This window comes from Homo sapiens, chromosome 2 (genome assembly GCF_000001405.40).
Source record: "Homo sapiens chromosome 2, GRCh38.p14 Primary Assembly".
Classification (NCBI taxonomy): domain Eukaryota; kingdom Metazoa; phylum Chordata; class Mammalia; order Primates; family Hominidae; genus Homo; species Homo sapiens.
The window spans coordinates 202,633,570-202,651,646 of record NC_000002.12 but is presented as its reverse complement, the minus strand read 5'-3'; the positions used below and the strand labels follow the sequence as shown (position 1 = coordinate 202,651,646).

The window sequence follows — 18,077 nt, the reverse complement described above, 5'->3', positions numbered from 1 at the left end:
ATCCCAGCACTTTGGGAGGCCCAGGCGGGTGGAACACCTGAGGTCAGGAGTTTGAGACCAGCCTGGCCAACATGGTGAAACCCTGTCTCTACTAAAAATACAAAAAATTAACCAGGCATGGTCGTGAGCGACTATAATCCCAGCTACTCAGGAGGCCGAGGCAGGAGAATCACTTAAACCCAGGAGATGGGAGTTGCAGTGAGCCAAGATTGTGCCATTGCACTCCAACCTGGGCAACAAGAGTGAAACTCCATCTCAAAAAAAAAAAAAGGAATGGTAAATTAAGGGCCCGGAGCGGTGGCTCACACCTGTGATCCAGCACTTTGGGAGGCTGAGATAGGCAGATCACCTGCAATCAGGAGTTCGAGACCAGCCTGGCCAACGTAGTGAAACCCTGTCTCTACTAAAAATACAAAAATTAGCTGGGCGTGGTGACAGGTGCCTGTAATCCCATCTACTCTGGAGGCTGAGGCACCAGAATTGCTTGAACTGGGAGGCAGAGGTTACAGTGAGCTGAGATGGCACCACTGCACTCCAGCCTGGGCGACTGAGCAAGATTCCGTCTTAAAAAAAAAAAAAAAAAAAAGAATGGCAAATTAGAAGGGAACATCCAAAAATAATCATGAGCTGTGACGGTTATTATTGAGTGTCAACTTGACTGTATTGAAGGATGCAAAGTATTGTTCCCGGGTTTGTTTGTGAGGGTGTTGCCAAAGGAGATTAATATTTGAGTCAGCGGATTGGGAGAGGCAGACCCACCCTCAATCAGGGTGGGCACCATCTAATCAGCTGCCAGTGCGGCTAGAATAAAGCAGGCAGGAGAAGATCTTGGAAGAGCGGACTTGCTGAGTCTTCCGGCCTTCATCTTTCTCCCGTGCTGGATGCTTTCTGCCCTTAAACATCTCACTCCAGTTTCTTCAGCTTTTGGACTCTTGGATTTACACCAGTGGATTGCCAGGCGCTCTCAGGCCTTTGCCACAGACTGAAGGCTGCACTGTCGGCTTCCCTACTTTTAAGGTTTTGGGACTCGGACTGGCTTCCTTGCTCCCCAGATTGCAGACAGCCTATTGTGGGACTTTACCTTGTGATCACGTGAGTCAATACTCCTTAATAAACTCCCCTTTATATATACATCTATCCTATTAGTTCAGTTCCTCTAGATAACCCTAATACATGAGCCTTTTCCTTTATCGTCCAAATTTTCCATATTTTTATTACTTTTAAAGGTTAAAAATTTTAGTGCATTATGCTCCAAAAGTCCATGGCCTACTCTGTATGAATACAGAAAATTTTAACAGCATTTATGAAACAAGTTAATACTGGCAACATTATTAACCCGACCACCCAAGTAGGTTCCAAATCCCAGCCATCATTACACTCTTTCATCTACCAAATCTAATCAGTTAACAAATCCTATCAATTCTTCACTTTTTAAATAAACCCTTTTTCATTCACACTAACTAGAACCACCCTATTTTCAAACAAAGAAATTAAGGCTGCTGAAAATAGTAGAAATTAGGATAAATATAAAAGACTTTCTTCCTATTTTTAATTGCTCTAAAACACTGGCTAGATGAAACCCCGTGTCTACTAAAAATCCAAAAAAAAAAAATTAACCAGGTATGTGGTAGGCGTCTGTAATCCCAGCTACTTGGGAGGCTAAAGGCGGGAGAATCACTTGAACCCAGGAGGTGAAGGTTCCAGTGAGCTGAGATCGCACCACTGCACTCCAGCCTGGGCAACAAGAGCAAAACTCCATCTCAAAAAATAAACAAACAAACAAACAAATAAATAAGCCGAGCACGGTGGTTCACGCTTGTAAATCCCAGCACTCTGGGAGGCTGACGTGGGCAGATCACTTGAGGTCAGGAGTTCGAGACCAGCCTGGCCAACACAGTGAAACCCCGTCTTTACTAAAAACACAAAAATTAGCCCAGTGTGGTGGCGCGTGCCTGTGATCCCAGCTACTCGAGAGGCTGAGACAGGAGAATCACTTGAACCCGGGAGGCACAGGTTGCAATGTGCCGAGATCACGCCATTGCACTCCAGCCTCAGAGACAGAACAAGACTCTATCTCAAAAAATAAAAAATAAAAATAAATAAATAAATAACAAAGCATTACAAAGTTTATAAGAGAGAGAAAATATTTGATGAATAACAAAGTATTTGACAATTATATCACAAAGGATGGGTGGGAGGAAACAGAATTATATGTAAGGTTCTACCATATGAAATATTAGACAACACACCATCATTCACAAAGTTCTACTAGACAGCAGTGCTCTAGCACAACCACTTTAGAACACAGTAAAAAGAGGCAACAATAGTGAAGATAGGGAAGACAGAAAAGAGAGAGGGAAGGAGACATTCTGGTAGGTAGATTAAACTGTACAATTAAGAGTTTACTCCTTGAGGGCAAGGACTCCAAAAAATAATAGTAAGATGAAATGATAAAACATAATCCAAAGGAGGATGGGGAAAAAATGTTCATGAAATTCAGGTACAAACTGATATCAATTCCCAAAATATATCTGACAACACAAAGAAAAATGCACGCCCTTCTGACCCAAAAAATTCTATTTCTAAGAATTTGTCAGCCGGGCACGGTGGCTCATGCCTGTAATCCCAGCACTTTGAGGCTGAGGCGGGCAGAACGCCCGAGGTCAGGAGCTCGAGACCAGCCTGGTCAACACGGTGAAACACCATCTCTACTAAAAATACAAAAATTAGCCAGGTGTGCGCCTGTAGTCCCAGCTACTCAGGAGGCTGAGGCAGGAGAATCGCCTGAACCCGGGAGTCAGAGGTTGCAGTGAGCCAAGATCACCCAACTGCACTCCAGCCTGGACAACAGAGCAAGACTTCTTCTCAAAAAAAATAAAAAATAATAATAAAAAAAGAATTTGTCCTACAGATAAATTCATATATAAGTGCACAAAGAAGTATATACAAGAATATTCAACCTAGCATCATTTAACAGCAAAAGGCTAGAAATGATCTAAATGTTTATAAATAAAAGCCTGATGAAATAATGCATGGTCCACTATAAACCTATGTGCACAACGACATACACGCACACACACACACATACATACATATATATATATGTATTTTTTGTTTTGGGGGGGGGGTGGGGACAGAGTCTCGCTCTGTCACCCAGGCTGCAGTGCAGTGGCGCAATCCTGGCTCACTGCAACCTCCACCTCCCAGGTTGAAGCAATTCTCCTGCCTCAGCCTCCCAAATAGTTGGGACTACAGGCGCACACCGACCGCTATACTCGGCTAATTTTTTTCTGTATTTTAGTAGAGACGGGGTTTCACCATGTTGCCCAGGCTGGTCTCGAACTTCTGAGCTCAGGCAATCTACACATCTCGGCCTCCCAAAGTGCTAGGATTAAAGGCATGAGCCAACAAGCCCAGCTGACATATGCATATATCTGAATATACATAGAATAGCTCTGGAATTATACAAAGAAACAACTGGATTTCTCTTGAGAAGAATGAACTGAGACAAACAGCAAGAAGACTGCTGACTGTATTCTCCTTACCATTTATAATTTTTATCATGTGCACATTATTGCCTGCAAAGAAAGAATGGAGTAGGGGAGAGAGGAGAGGAAAGAGAGACACATTCTGGTAGGTAAATTAAACCATACAATTACAGAGTTAGTTCCTTGAGGGCGAAGACTCCAAGCAGCAGCCTATACTAGCTCATGAAGAAGAAGAAAAATGTCAGTAAATTTCTTTTGGGTTAAACTAGCACTAATTTCATCTCAACTGCTACATGCCAGCCTCAATCAAAAAAATGTCAGATACTTCCTATTAAATAATACTAACAGAATAAAAATACATAAACTCACTAGAACAATACACGGGAAAAGAGGCAAGAGCAAAAACAAGTTTTCAACCAAGTTGTTTTGGAAGCAGATGTTTAGGTGATAACTTTGCTGCAGCCTGATCCTATGCTCCACCCAAGATTTCCTCATCTGCCCCAAAATAAGTTCTAGATTTCTATGGAAAGAATAAAGTCTTGTCATTCACATGTAAGCGATGAATATTTTGCTGTAGTTTTCAAATTCTCATATGCATCAACAAGCTTCTTCTTGTTTAACAAGCATCAAGATCAAAGAAGAAAGTTTCATTTCAGTTGAATATGAAATCTGGGTGTGCTCATTTCAAGCTCAACCCAGAACTGAGTATTTGTACAGAAAAAAATATATATACACGTTTTGTTGAAATAAATAAACTGTTTTTTTCAGTTTTGAAAATATCACTTTTTATGTACAGGTCTAGAATAGAGACCAAGAAATCGCCACACATTAATAATTCTGCTAGACCTATATTTGACACAGATCTTGTTACAGAAAAAGAAATTTTTGAAGCTCTCAGATAAAATTGTGTTAAGCTATATTTTTTTATATTGCCTTGCTTTATGGTTTTAGTAGCTTTTACTATAAACATTATAAATTTTCCTATTGTAAAAAATAACTTTACTAAGTTCATTTAAATTAAATATACCTTTAGAAAAAATAAATCCCATTTTGTCTTATATAAATTATTTAATCAAAACATTATGGTTGCCTTATAAGTTTTTAAAAATCTAAGAAAAGGGAAGAGATTAATTTCAAGAAAGGTAAGCTAAGCTTAACTGCACATTTTCCCCCAAAAAAAGTTAGTTAAAAATAACATGTTTAGTCTTAAAAGCTGGCTGGGGGTGTGCCTCTTGTACATACCCTAGATCACATAATATCTCATTAGCATCTTGTATACTAAAAACTGGGGATAAAACTATTGTTATCACTTAAACAAGGTAAAAAAAAATCATACAGGAATTTCTTTAGAAGGAAAAACTAAAGTTTCCTTTACTTCACTACTCACTTGCAATAATGATGATATCCTTAGGGGAGAGAGGAAAACCATACAAAATGAATAGGCTAATAAGATGGTCAAATAAACAGATTCATAGAGAAACCACTCGTACTCAAAAGAGCATAAATTATTACTAGAGCAATATATCTCAACTTCCTGGTGACAAATGCCTGGGTTCCCTGAGAAATGGAAACGATGCCAAGGAGTCTCCAGAACAAAAAGATTGGGAAAATCTGCGCTATAGAAATTAACGAGACAGGCTCTGGACTTAAGGACACTACACATATCCTTAGGCATGATACTGAGGTCTCTTCCCTGGGGAAACTGGCCCAAGAGAAGAAAAAAAACCTACTTTTGGGAGTCCCTGCGTCTTCTTTCTAGAGTAACATGCTCCAGACAAGCAGCCTGATCTAAACACAGAAAACATTTAATCAGCATTTTAATGTCTCACTTAAATATTAATAGAAAGTGGCCAGGCCAAGCGGCTCACGCTTATAATCCCAACATTCTGGCTGGTGGAGACAGGCGGATCACTTGAGGTCAGGAGTTCAAGACCAGCCTGGCCAACATGGTGAAACCCACCAAAATTAGCCAGGTGTAGTGGTGTGCCCCTGTAGTCGCAGCTACTCAGGGGGCTGAGGTGGGAGAATTGCTTGAACCCGGGAGGCGAAGGCTGAAGTGAGCCAAGATAGTGCCACTGCACTCCAGCCTGGGCAACGGAGCAAGACTCCATCTCAAAAAAAAAAAAACAAAAAACTTTTAGGCATTAACAGGACAAAGAACAAACAGCAAGGCAAGTGCTCTTGAAGAACTGAAGTATAATGGCCAAAATGTAAAAATCAATAAAACGAATACAAGATAAAAATAAATCTGATAGGCCGGGCGCTGTGGCTCACTCCTGTAATCCCAGCATTTGGGAGGCCAAGGCGGGCGGATCACCTGAGGTCAGGAGTTCGAGACCAGCCTGGCCAATTTGGTAAAACCCCGTCTCTACTAAAAATACAAAAAATTTAGCTGGGCGTGGTGGCGCGCGCCTACAGTCCCAGCTACTCGGGAGGCTGAGGCAGGAGACTTGCTTGAACCCGGGAGGCGGAGGTTGCAGTGAGCCGAGATCTCTCCACTGCACTCTAGCCTGGGCGACAGAGCGAGACTCCGTCTCAAATAAATAAATCTGATAGAAATAAAAACAGGCTGCCGGGCGCAGTGACTCACGCCTGTAATCCCAGCACTTTGGGAGGCCGAGGCGGGCAGATCACGAGGTCAGGAGATCAAGACCATCCTGGCTAACACAGTGAAACCCCGTCTCTACTAAAAATACAAAAAATTAGCCGGGCGAGGTGGCGGGCGCCTGTAGTCCCAGCTACTCGGGAGGCTGAGGCAGGAGAATGGCGTGAACCCCGGGGGGCGGAGCCTGCAGTGAGCCGAGATCTCGCCACTGCACTCCAGCCTGGGCGACAGCGAGACTCTGTCTCAAAAACAGACAAACAAAAAAAAAAAGAAAGAAAAAAAAGAAACAGGCCAGGCGTGAGTAATCCCAGCACTTTGGGAGGCCAAGGCAAAAGCATCACTTAAGGCCAGGAGTTCCAGACCAGCCTGGGCAATACAGCGAGACTCAGTCTCTATTTTTTAAAAGAAAATATATTTTGAAATTTTGAAAAATAATAAAAAAGAAATGCAAACAGATAAAGATACGGAAACTAGACAGAAATTGTTAAATTACAGATGTGCTCCAAGATATACCACAACTAGATAACACAGCTTCCAAAAAGACAAAAAACAAAGATAACAGAAAGGAGAAATAATAAAAGAAAAATTCCCAGAAATAGTCTCTAGACTGAAAAAGCCCACAGAGTAACCAGCACAGTGAACAGAAAACAAACAATGAAACACCTCACAACAAGGCAATCCTCATTTCAGAATGGTGGTAACCCTTCCACAGAGGACAGACACCATCACCAACAAAGGATTAAGAATCAGAATGGCATCCAAATTCTCAACAGCAATTCCAAAAGCTAGAAGATGAAGTGCTTTCAATACCCAGTGGAAAAATTATTTCCAACCTACAATTCTAATTCTATACCCAGTCAAACCGGCAAGTATAAAGACATCACTGAAGATATTCAAGGTCTGGGTATAACATATACCTCCCATGTATCCTCTCTCAAAAAATTATTGGAAAATGCACTCCAGCAAAACAACATCCAGAAATTAGAGTATCCAAAACAGGAGAGAAGTGAAGAGAATTCCCAGGGAAGTTCCCGGTTCTAATAGCTGTGCCACAGATGTAGAGATCAATGAGCTAATTTGGAATATGAGGATGAGGGACTCCAAAAGACATATCTCCAAGGAAAATAAACAAAAGTAACTCTCTGCTATGTTTTTAATTATTTACAGGAAGTTTCCATTATCAAAACTTTCTTAGGGATAAATTTGTGATAGGTACATAGAAAACGAAGCAATCAAAATGAAAAACAATTTTAACCTCAAAGACCACAAAAAGTTATTTAAAAAGAAAATATAACTGTAGTATCCAACAAGGCTCTACTGTAATCAATATTTACATGGTCATAATAACATTAATACTGATTTAACCAAAAGATGCTACACCTACAATGGAAGGATTCGGTAGGATGGTGATTAGAGAATTAAGTGTACATTTTCCACAGTAGCAAGTCACTACATAATACATAAAACTGAAAAAAAAAAAAAAAAAAAACAAAAAAAAAACAGCTCCTAAAGCAGTAGTATAGCATATTATTTAGAAATGTGTAGGCCAGGCACGGTGGCTCACGCCTGTAATTCCAGCATTTTGGGAGGCCAAGGCGGGTGGATCACTTGAGGCCAGGAGTTCGAGACCAGCCTGGCCAACACGGGGAAACCCTGCCTCTACTAAAAATACAAAAATTAGCAGGGAATGGTGCTACACACCTACAATCCCAGCTACTCAGGAGGCTGAGGCATAAGAATTGCTTGAACCCAAGAGGCAGAGGTTGCAGTGAGCTGAGATCCTGACATTGCACTCCAGCCTGGGTGACAGAGCGAGACTCTGTCTCAAAAAAAAGAAAGAAAGAAAAAGAAATGTGTAGGTAAACAGCCAAAGAAACCTCTAAGAGTTGAAAGTGGTTGTTTCTAGGGGGCAGGAAGAGGGAGTGGAGAAAGATGTGACAAGGGAACATTTTATTTGATAATAAGTTCAGTGCTATTTGACATTTTAAATTATGCACACGTAGTTTAAAAAAATAAATTTAAATTTAAAAATATAGTATAAAGACAAGCATGCTATTTTTGCCTTCAAGTAGTTTGGAAAAGGAAGTAGCTTACTTTCTCAACTTCCTTCCCTTCTACTGCTGATTTACCTATCATCTTAACCTACGCCCTTACCTCTTCCCCTCCTCAGAGAAAAAAATGTCCTTGTTTCTGAGATTTCCAGACTCTACCATGTACTGGATCCCATGCCTCTCGCATTTTCCATAACCTTGCTCCATCTACATTTACCATCTTCTCTTGAATTTACAATCTTTCATTCTATAAATCCTTTCCCTAAAAGCTATAAACAAGCTGAAGTTTTCCACATCCTGTAAATAACTGAAGCTTAAGCACACCCTTCACCCAGTTTTTTCACTTTCCTTCCGTCCACATTAAAGTACTTTATACTCATTACCTCTACTTCCTCATCCTCCACTTTGATTTGTGCCCCCAACATGCTTCTCAAACTACTTTCTCTCACAGATCATTGACTAATCTACATGCCAGATTCAAAGGCCTATTCTCCAGGCTCAGCCTACTTCACGACATTTGAAAATCTTTCCTATCTCTCCTTGAAATACAATCTTTCTTTTCGGCTTTCTCAACACTATTCTACCATTTCTCCTCCTACCACATTTCACAGGTTTCTTCACTGGCTTTTCTTTCTACCCTTAAAAATGCTTGTTTCCTCCCAGAGTTCTATCTTCAGCATTTTCCCTATCATTTTATCCACCCTAGTGATTAGTCATTTCGAGTGTTGCCCACATGTAAATGCCTAGCATGATGTACATGTTAAATGAATGTTTACTGAACTGCAATAAATGAGTCCTAATTTTTACCCCCAAGTTCAAAGTGTATCCCTGAGTTTTAAAATGTTATTTGCCACAATCTAGAAAATTATCTGAAGTTCCTGAGAGCACAAACCAAATACATCCACAACTGAGTTCATTTTCTTTTCCCAAATCTGTTCTCCTCACTGTTATCAATTAGAACCACCATCCAAACTATCACCCTCAACTCCCCGTTTCTCAATCCCTACATCCAACAGTTTGCCAAATCAGTCTTTTCAATCTTTTTTACTCTTGCCATTCCCACTGCCATTCCCCCAAAATTCAGGTGATCAATGCCTTTGTGAGTTTCTCCTATCTCAAGTCACACTCTACTCATTTTATATATATATATATATATATTCTATTTATTCTAAGAATATAAATACTAGTAATAATAACTGTGAGTGCCTAAAGCCTTGGATGAGAAGGAAGACAATGATGTGAAAATATCTGGCTGGGCGTGGTGGCTCACGCTTGCAATCCCAGCACTTTGGGAGGCCGAGGCGGACAGATCACGAGGTCAGGAGTTCAGGACCAGCCTGTCCAATATGGTGAAATCCCGTCTCTACTAAAAAAAAAAAAAAAAAGTACAAAAATCAGCCGGGCATGGTGGCACACGGCTGTAGTCCAGCTACTCAGGAGGCTGAGGCAGGAGAATGGCTTGAACCTGGGAGGCGGAGGTTGCAGTAAGCCGAGATCACACCACTGCACTCCAGCCTGGGCGACAGAGTAAGACTCCGATAAAAAAAAAAAAAAAGAAAATATCTGCCAGGCGCGGTGGCTCATGCCTGTAATCTCAGCACTTTGGGAGGCCGAGGCGGATGGACCGCCTGAGGTCAGGAGTTCGAGACCAGCCTGGCCAACATAGTGAAACCCTGTCTCTACTAAAAATACAAAAGTTAGCTGGGCGTGGTGGCAGGCGCCTGTAATCCCAGCTACTCAGGAGGTTGAGGCAGGAGAATCGCTTGAACCCAGGAGGCGGAGGTTACAATGAGCCAAGATCTGCCATTGCACTCCAGTCTGGGCAACAAGAGTGAAACTCCATCTCAAAAAAAAAAAAAAAGAAAATAAAATATCTAATATTGAGATTCCTATACCCCACACACAGATTACAAAGATTTTATTCCTTGAAACAATTATCTACGGTAAGTATCATTAGTATCCCCTTTTTACAAGTAAAGTGAACTTGCCTAAAGTTAAACTGCTAGCAAGTAAATGGCAACTCCAGGGTCTGAACCCTGACAGTCTGGCTCCAGAGTACATACTATTAACCATGGAATACTTTCTAATGTATATATTCTATTCAAAGTCATTCTGAAAACTTACGTCTCTCCCTTCTTTCTCTACTATTTCCGCTCTCCCCATCCCAACACCCTATTACCCTACATTTCAAGCCACAAAGAACTGAATATGATAGGCTTATTTTCACACCTCTAAGATCCAACTGCAAAGTTCTGTTCTTCCCTTTGTAATCCAATTCAAAATTCATCTCCTCTGAGGGAACCTCTATACCCATCCCCTGTGGAATTATTCACTCTCTAAGCCAGAAAACTCATCACATTATATGCTTATGTATCTGTCTTACATGGCTAGTTTGTGAGTCTCTGGAATTCCTTGTGTGTTTTACATCTTTGTATTACACTGTTAATAACACAGAGTAGTTCAATCAAAGCTTACAGAATTTAACTTAATTAAATGTAAATTCTACTAGCCAAGACATAAAACTAATAGTTTCTACTTTGTCTCATCTTCATTGCAAAATATAGACATCACAAACCAAAAGAATTCCCTTTAGCCGGGTGTGGGTGACTCGTGCCTCTAATCCCAGCACTTTGGGGGGCTGAGGCAGGCAGATAGCTTGAGCTCAGGAGTTGGAGAGCACCCTGGGCAACATGGTGAAACCCAGTCTCTACCCAAAATACAGAAAATTAGCTGGGCATAGTGGCATGTACCTGTAGTCCCAGCTACTCGGGAAGCTAAGGCGGGAGAATTACCCGAACCCCGGAGGCAGAGGTTGCAGTGAGCCGAGATCGTGCCACTACACTCCAGCCTGGGTGACAGAGACCCAGTCTCCAAAAAAAAAAAGAATTCCCTTGAATGTGTAATGTTAGCAGCAATCCTCCAAATGTTAGAGAAACACTAAATTCTTAGAGACATATTTCATAAGGTACTAGAAAGTAGACATCAAAGATGACACAAATATAAGTTCTGGTTATCTTGCTTCTTGATTCTGCCTATTAGTCCAAAGAAGTTATCACTTTTTGCTGCCCTTGGCACTCCCCAACTCCAATAAACAAACGAATTTATACACAACTTAATACATCCAAAGGAAGGGGGAAACTAGCAAGAACACGACTTGCCATATATATATATATATATATATATATATATATATATATATATATATATTTTGTGGTGGTGGTGGTGGTTGTTGTGACGGAGTTTTGCTCTTGTTGCTCAGGCTGGAGTGCAGTGGCACAATCTCGGCTCACTGCAACCTCCACCTTCTGGGTTCAAGTGATTCTCCTGCCTCTGCCTCCCCGGTAGCTGGGATTATAGGCGCCTGCCACCACACCTGTCTAATTTTTTGTATTTTTAGTAGAGACAGGGTTTCGCCATGTTGGGCAGGCTGGTCTCGAACTCCTGACCTCAGGTCATCCACCCACCTTGGCCTCCCAAAATGCTGGGATTACAGGTATAAGCCACCGTGCCCGACCAAATTTTTTTTATTATACCACACACCCTAAGTAATTCTGATACAGATGAACCACAGACTACACTTTGAGAAACACCATTCTGGATGTTCACAGGCAATGTTATCACCAATTTGAAACTTCATACAACCATGAAAACTGAACCTACACTGGTAATTTATGTTAAATACACTAAAACTAGAAGCAAAACTAATATGATACACAACAGCTAACTTTTATACTGAGGTACTGTGCTGTTTTTCAGTTTTCCCTTATTTAATCCCTACTATCATATGAAGTAGATTTCACCACCCATTTCACAGATAAGAAAAATAACTTTCCATATCACATGGCTTCTAGTTGGCAGAACACAGGTATTAAACTCAAACTGTCTACCCAAAGTATATCCTCCTCACCTCGATGTTATACCATCTCTCCATTTGTAATCTATTTGACATTTTAATAAGTAAAATGAAGTTGGGTAAAAGGAGAGAAGGCACAAAAATAAACTTTCTGGTTAACACTGTTGCCTAGGTACCTTTTCTAAACATACCTCAGTTCCTAATGACAAACGGCTTTGCTATGGAGATGACAGTCACTGAAGGTGGGAAGTTTAAAATATCTGTCAGGGATGGGTGCTTGGATTACTTTATAGTAGTCAAGAGTAGGAAGTTCTACACCAGCCAATTAGCTCTAACCCTAGAAGAATAAAGCAACTGGATAGGGATCTTGATACCTTCAACTTAGGGACTCTGAGATACCGGATCCCTAACAAAGGTTACAGCATCCAGTTCATCTGATAAGACACCTAGAAGTCAACAGCCTGATCTAGATGGACCCTGAAATTTGAGTCCTATGAGGTTTATAGAATTATATGGGGTAGACCCTTACCCTTTACGGTAGGGATTTTTACATTCATCACAGCTGCAAACTGGTGGTAGCCTCCCTTTAATGAAAAAGGGACTCTGACGTTTACAAAGACTTTCCTTCCAGATTTAGTCAGATAAAAACAGCAAATGATTTCATCGTAGTTTTGTGTGTGTTATGAACACCTGAAATCTGAAAACACTTTGTTCTACTCTGCATGGATATTTACTAGAGTGAAACAACAATTCCTGGGAATGAAACTATGAGACATTCAAACTAGAGTATGACTTAATAACAGACAATATTTCTCACACCCAAGTGAAAGTGCTGCACTAGAAAAATAAGAGTTTTTATTTTTCTAGTTGGCGGAACACAGGTATTAAACCTGACCTCAGGTGATCCACCGCCTCGGCCTCCCAAAGTGCTGGGATTACCCCTGTGAGCCACCGCGCCTGGCCAAATTATTTTTTATTATACCACACACCCTAATTCTGATACAGATAAACCACAGACTACACTTTGAGAAATAAGAGTTTTTATTTTTCTGGATTTATTTATTTATTTATTTATTTTGATAGGGGAGCAAATGGGGATAATTTTACAGCAAATACTCTACGGGATGATCTAGGGAAGGGGAGCGTTCAAAAACCATGAAGAGAGGACATGGGAGTAGCCTGACATCCCAGGAAATAGAGCCCTCCTAGAGATCAGAGAAAAAGAGTACCTTCCTCCACACCTTGCCAATACTTAATTCAACCCAGTTCTCCTCAGGGTGTTTCTCTGAGTGTCAAACAGTTGTTAAGAGAGCCAGATTCTGTTATCAGACTACAGGCTGTGCCTCCTTCTGCCACCTCTACTGCCCACTTATAAGCCAGCTCCTTCCCTTCCACCTGATGCACTATGCTGGCTCCAGAAGGCTGAAGGACTGAAGCAGTTTTGTTCATATCTGTAAGAGTTACTTAACTAGTGGCTGGGCGCGGTAGCTCATGCCTGTAATCCCAGCACTTTGGGGAGGCCGAGGTCGGCAGGTCACCTGAGGTTGGGAGCTTGAGACCAGCCTGACGAATGTGGAGAAACCCTGTATCTACTAAAAACACAAAATTAGCCAGGCGTGGTAGCGCATGCCTGTAATCCCAGCTACTCGGGAGGCTGAGGCAGGAGCATCGCTTGAACCCGGGAGGCAGAGGTTGCAGTGAGCCAAGATTGCCCCATTGCACTCCAGCCTAGGTGACAGAGTGAGACTCCATCTTAAAAAAAAAAAAAAAAAAAAAGTTACCTAACTAAGTACATGTAATTTTGGTGTGCTATATATTTCCCACATTCTATCTTACACATCATGATGTCACTTCCTTGATATAATATAAAGACATGGTCTTTGGAGTACAACTGACCAAAGTTCAAATAAATACCAACTCTGCCACTTGTTACTTAACCTCTCTAAAAGCTATAGTGAGGGTTAAATGAGATTTTGCATAAAAACCACCTGCCAAATAGTAAGAGTTCAGTAGGTGACAGAGGTTATGAAGCAGGGAGGGGAAATCTAGTACTTTTATCACAGTTTTAGAAAAGCATTCTGCATTCTCAAAAGGTTTAAAATAGTGCTCTGGGCTGGGCAATCCTAGCACTTTGGGAGGCCAAGGCGGGCAGATCACATAAGGTCAGGAGTTCCAAACCATCCTGGCAAACATGGTGAAACCCCATCTCTACTAAAATACAAAAATTAGCCGGGCATGATGGCGGGTGCCTGTAATCCCAGCTACTCGGGAGGCTGAGATAGGAGAATCGCTTGAACCCAGGAGACCATGGTTGCAGTGAGCCGAGATCACATAACTGCACTCCAGCCTGGGCAGCTGAGCAAGACTCCGTCTCAAAAAATAAATAAAAATATAAATAAAAATAAATACATAAATAAAACAGTGCTCTGGTTCTAATTAGAAAACACTATTCGGGCCGGGCGCAGTGGCGCATGCCTGTAATCCCAGCATTCTGGGAAGCCAAGGCGGGCGTTTCACCTGAGGTCAGGAGTTCGAGACCAGCCTGGCCAACATGGTGAAACCCTGTCTCTACTAAAAATACAAAAATTAGCCGGGCATGGTGGCGGTCGCCTGTAATCCCAGCTACTCAGGAGACTGAGGCAGAATCGTTTGAACCCGGGAGTTGGAGGCTGCAGTAAGCCGAGATCGTGTAACTGCACTCCAGCCTGGGCAACAGAAACTCTGTCTCAAAAAAAGAAAATACTATTCATCATTTTCCAGGGCAATTCTCTCTAAATAAGTATTATCTAAAACTTTCATAAAATAAATAGTAAGAAAGAGTCATCCTATTCCTTCCATTTCGGAAACTATTTCATCTGAATTTGTTTCCTGAAATTCCCAACCATTCTGCCTGGAAAATTCTAACAGAAGTTCCCCAGACAAGGAAAGACAAAGATATATGTTGACAAAAATGAATACGTAAGTAAAAACCACCCATTTCTTTCCTTAAGGCAACAAGATTATAAATTTTATTCCTTTCCACTTCCCACAATTTGAATTTCTCTTTTGAGTTACTCTTTATGAATGACTCCATTGGCACCCAACAGCTCCATTCAGGACCTTCCCCAAGAAAGCTTCCAGGTAAACAGAAAAACAACGAATGTTAGCTCCCTAAAACAATAACAAGATGGAGACAAAACACTGGATTCTGTTTTTCTACATTCAAAACACAGAATCAGTACACAAAATCAGAAATACACCCAGAGCCTCAGACAAAACCCATAAACCTTCCTAAGGAATCTTGTTTAATTTTCACTTCTTGCTACCCATTTATCAAGTCTTAGGAAATGCTAAAACACGGTTCTCAGCCTCCTCTGTTCAGTGATCCAAATCTGCCACTGCTAATGCATTCAGTACCCCAGATCTGAAACTGTTTTGTGAACAGAAATACTTAGCAGCAGCAGATATGGGCTATGCCAACATTAACCTTGTCCCTAAAACAAAGTGACAAACCACTCCTAGCCTCACCCTCAAGGGAGGGTAAGCAGTAACGACTCCTCCAGGAGTAAGGCCAGGAAGCCAGGTTTATCATTAACACTCATCAGCTCAAGCCCAAGGTTTAGCCGCTGCACCTCCACCACCAGGGAGCCGTGCGGGGCGGGCAGAGGGGTGAATGAGGCGGGCGGGCGGGCGGGGCGTAGGGTAGGCCCGGGAAAGGCGGGGCCGCACTGCCGGGTCCCCCACCGCCCGGCACCGCCCCCAGCCCCGCCCCCAGCCACCCGGGCTCCGCGGCAGCTCTGCAGTCCCCGCGCGATTGCAGCGCGCGCCCGGGACCCCTTCCCGCAGCCGCCTCCCCCTTGCTGCGCGACCCCCAGCACTTACCTGCTTTGCAAACCGGGGCGCTGGGGCTCCTCTTCTCCGGCGAGCTTCGGCTCTGCTCCGGAGACCTCCTCCGATGCCGGACGCGGGCTGGGGGTGGGGCCGCGCTCACCTCGCCGGTCCACAGGTGGGTGGGCGACGAGCTGGGCGACGACACGGTGCCCAGCAGCGGCGGCGGCGGCGGCGGCCGTGGGGGGCTCCCGCGAGCTCCAGGCGCGGCGCTGCGCGTGGGGCTGGTGCCTCGCGTGGACGTCGCGGACGCGCCCGTCTGCGTGGCCACCGTGGGGCTGGTGCGCGCGGCCGCGTTCCCGCCGCCGCGCGTGGGGCTGGTGCTGCGCGAGGCGGTGCGCGGGCCACCGCCGCCGCCGCCGCCTGCGGGGCCTGAGGCGCCACCACAGCAGCCACCGTTGTTGTTGCCGCCGCCGCCGCCGCCGCTCCGCGTGGGGCTGCCATGTTGCTGCTGCTGCTGCTGCTTCAGCTGGAACGGAACCGTCGCCCTCATGGGCTGCAAGCGGCTCCCGGGTCCCCCGGCCGTGGCCACCGCACCACCCCCAAGGGAGCCGGCCGGCGTGGGGGACCCATTGCGCCTCACCCGCTGGGACATGGTCCCCCCCCTCCCCGGTGACTGGGCGAGACGGGGGGTTTTGTTGTTGTTGGGCTGCAGGGGGAGGATTCTCGAGGCCGGAGGGCAGGCCCCCCAAGACGGGGTGACGAAGCCGGACTCCGGGGTGCAGGGGGAGACCGGGCCGGGGCAGGCAGCAACGAGGTGGTGCAGCCGCCGCCGCCGCCGCCGCCGCTCCTCATCAACAATAGTGTCTCCTCTGCTGCCCCCGCCCCCCACGATCGCCCATTGGTGCAGCGTCAGCCGCGCTCGAGCCGCTCCACTGCTCCCATTGGCTACGAGCAGCTCGGGTCCCGGGCCCCCGAGGCCTTGAGAGCCTGGGTGTGCGCGGAGACCGTCTGCTCTTTAAAGAGAAAGAGACCCGCCCCCCGCGGGGAGGGAGCGGAGGAAATGGGCCCTGTGTGTATGTGTAGTGTGCGCGCGTGTGTGTGTACACGTGAGTGCCCGTGTACGCGCGCGCCTAGCCACGCGCGCCTTTCCTTTCCCGCCGGGGGGAGCCCTGGGGACTCAGACTCTGGAAGGTTGCCAAAGGAAATGTCCAGACCCGGAGCAGTTCCCAGGGATGGTCTGAAGCCTTTTCCGCATAACTCATTTCCTTACCCCAGTGTTCACTTGTGTTCACCTGTACGCGCATCTCGTTCGGGCTTTTATTCTTAATGTTTTTGTTCTGCCCTAATTCCATCTACCTATGGGCAGGGCTCAAAAGGAGAAGAAATTTAACTAATCTTACTGGCATTTTACGCCCCTCTCCTTTTATTTTTTAGAGCTCTACAAAGAGGCAAATCTCAGAAAGATTAAACTTGCCTGTTAGAATGCGATTTTAGATAGTATCTATAGAGTTCAGTTACCACATGTTATTCCTACCCTCCTGTATCTCAAGTAATCAAGACTATTTTAATCAGCTGCTTCGCTGTTCCCTGATACCTTGGAAGGATGGCTGCTACCTTACCAGTTTGTAAAGTGCTATAGTTTACAGAGGGCCTTATTTGATTCTACACGATCATTGTTTGAGACAGAACTGGGACAGCCATCCATATTTTTGTCTAGCGGAGGAAACAAGTCTTTGGTGTGGCAAAGACTCGGGAAGGCAGGCAGTGACACTATTTCTAAAATGACCTAAAGGGCTCCTCATCAAGAAAATAAAAAATGGTGGAGCCAAAACCTACACTCCCACCTGTCTGGCTATAAATTGCCTATCCATGACCTCTTTTCCCTCTACTATTTTTATTAGTTGTACATGCTAGACAGATTTCGTCGTGTAAAAATGTGGGAGTGGAGGGCATAGTATGATTCACTCTGGACCTGAAATCCTACTGGGTCCCTTTGCGCGGTGGTGGAAGGCCTTTTTTTTTTTTTTTTGAGAAGAAGTCTCTCTCTGTCACCTAGGCTGGAGTGCAGTGGCGGAGTGCACTGGCTCGAATCTCGGCTCAGTGCAACCTCCGCCTCCCGCGTTCAAGCAATTCTCCTGCCTCCGCCTCCCAAGTAGCTGGGATTACAGGCGCGTGCCGCCACGCCCCGTAATTTTTCTGTTTTTAGTAAAGAGGCGGTTTCACCATGTTGGCCAGGGTGGTCTTGATCTCTTGATCTCATGATCCGCCCA

The 18,077-nt window shown here is 44.1% G+C and overlaps 1 protein-coding gene across 1 annotated transcript in view, besides 3 other annotated features; it reads right to left on the bottom strand.

Moving 5' to 3' along the window:
* Positions 1-16,678, bottom strand: part of FAM117B (family with sequence similarity 117 member B) — a 134,789-nt gene extending 118,111 nt beyond the window's left edge. The window contains exon 1 of the mRNA NM_173511.4: positions 15,859-16,678. Coding sequence (NP_775782.2) covers positions 15,859-16,459 — 601 coding nt within the window. The 5' untranslated portion in view covers positions 16,460-16,678. The remainder of the gene's footprint in view (positions 1-15,858) is intronic.
* Positions 15,631-16,070: a silencer, noted in NCBI's record as "silent region_12248". NCBI's record gives its function as "represses an Ori minimal core promoter by ATAC-STARR-seq in GM12878 lymphoblastoid cells {active_cell/tissue: GM12878}" and the evidence as "EXISTENCE:reporter gene assay evidence [ECO:0000049][PMID:35858748]".
* Positions 16,171-16,220: a silencer, noted in NCBI's record as "silent region_12247". NCBI's record gives its function as "represses an Ori minimal core promoter by ATAC-STARR-seq in GM12878 lymphoblastoid cells {active_cell/tissue: GM12878}" and the evidence as "EXISTENCE:reporter gene assay evidence [ECO:0000049][PMID:35858748]".
* Positions 16,411-16,640: a silencer, noted in NCBI's record as "silent region_12246". NCBI's record gives its function as "represses an Ori minimal core promoter by ATAC-STARR-seq in GM12878 lymphoblastoid cells {active_cell/tissue: GM12878}" and the evidence as "EXISTENCE:reporter gene assay evidence [ECO:0000049][PMID:35858748]".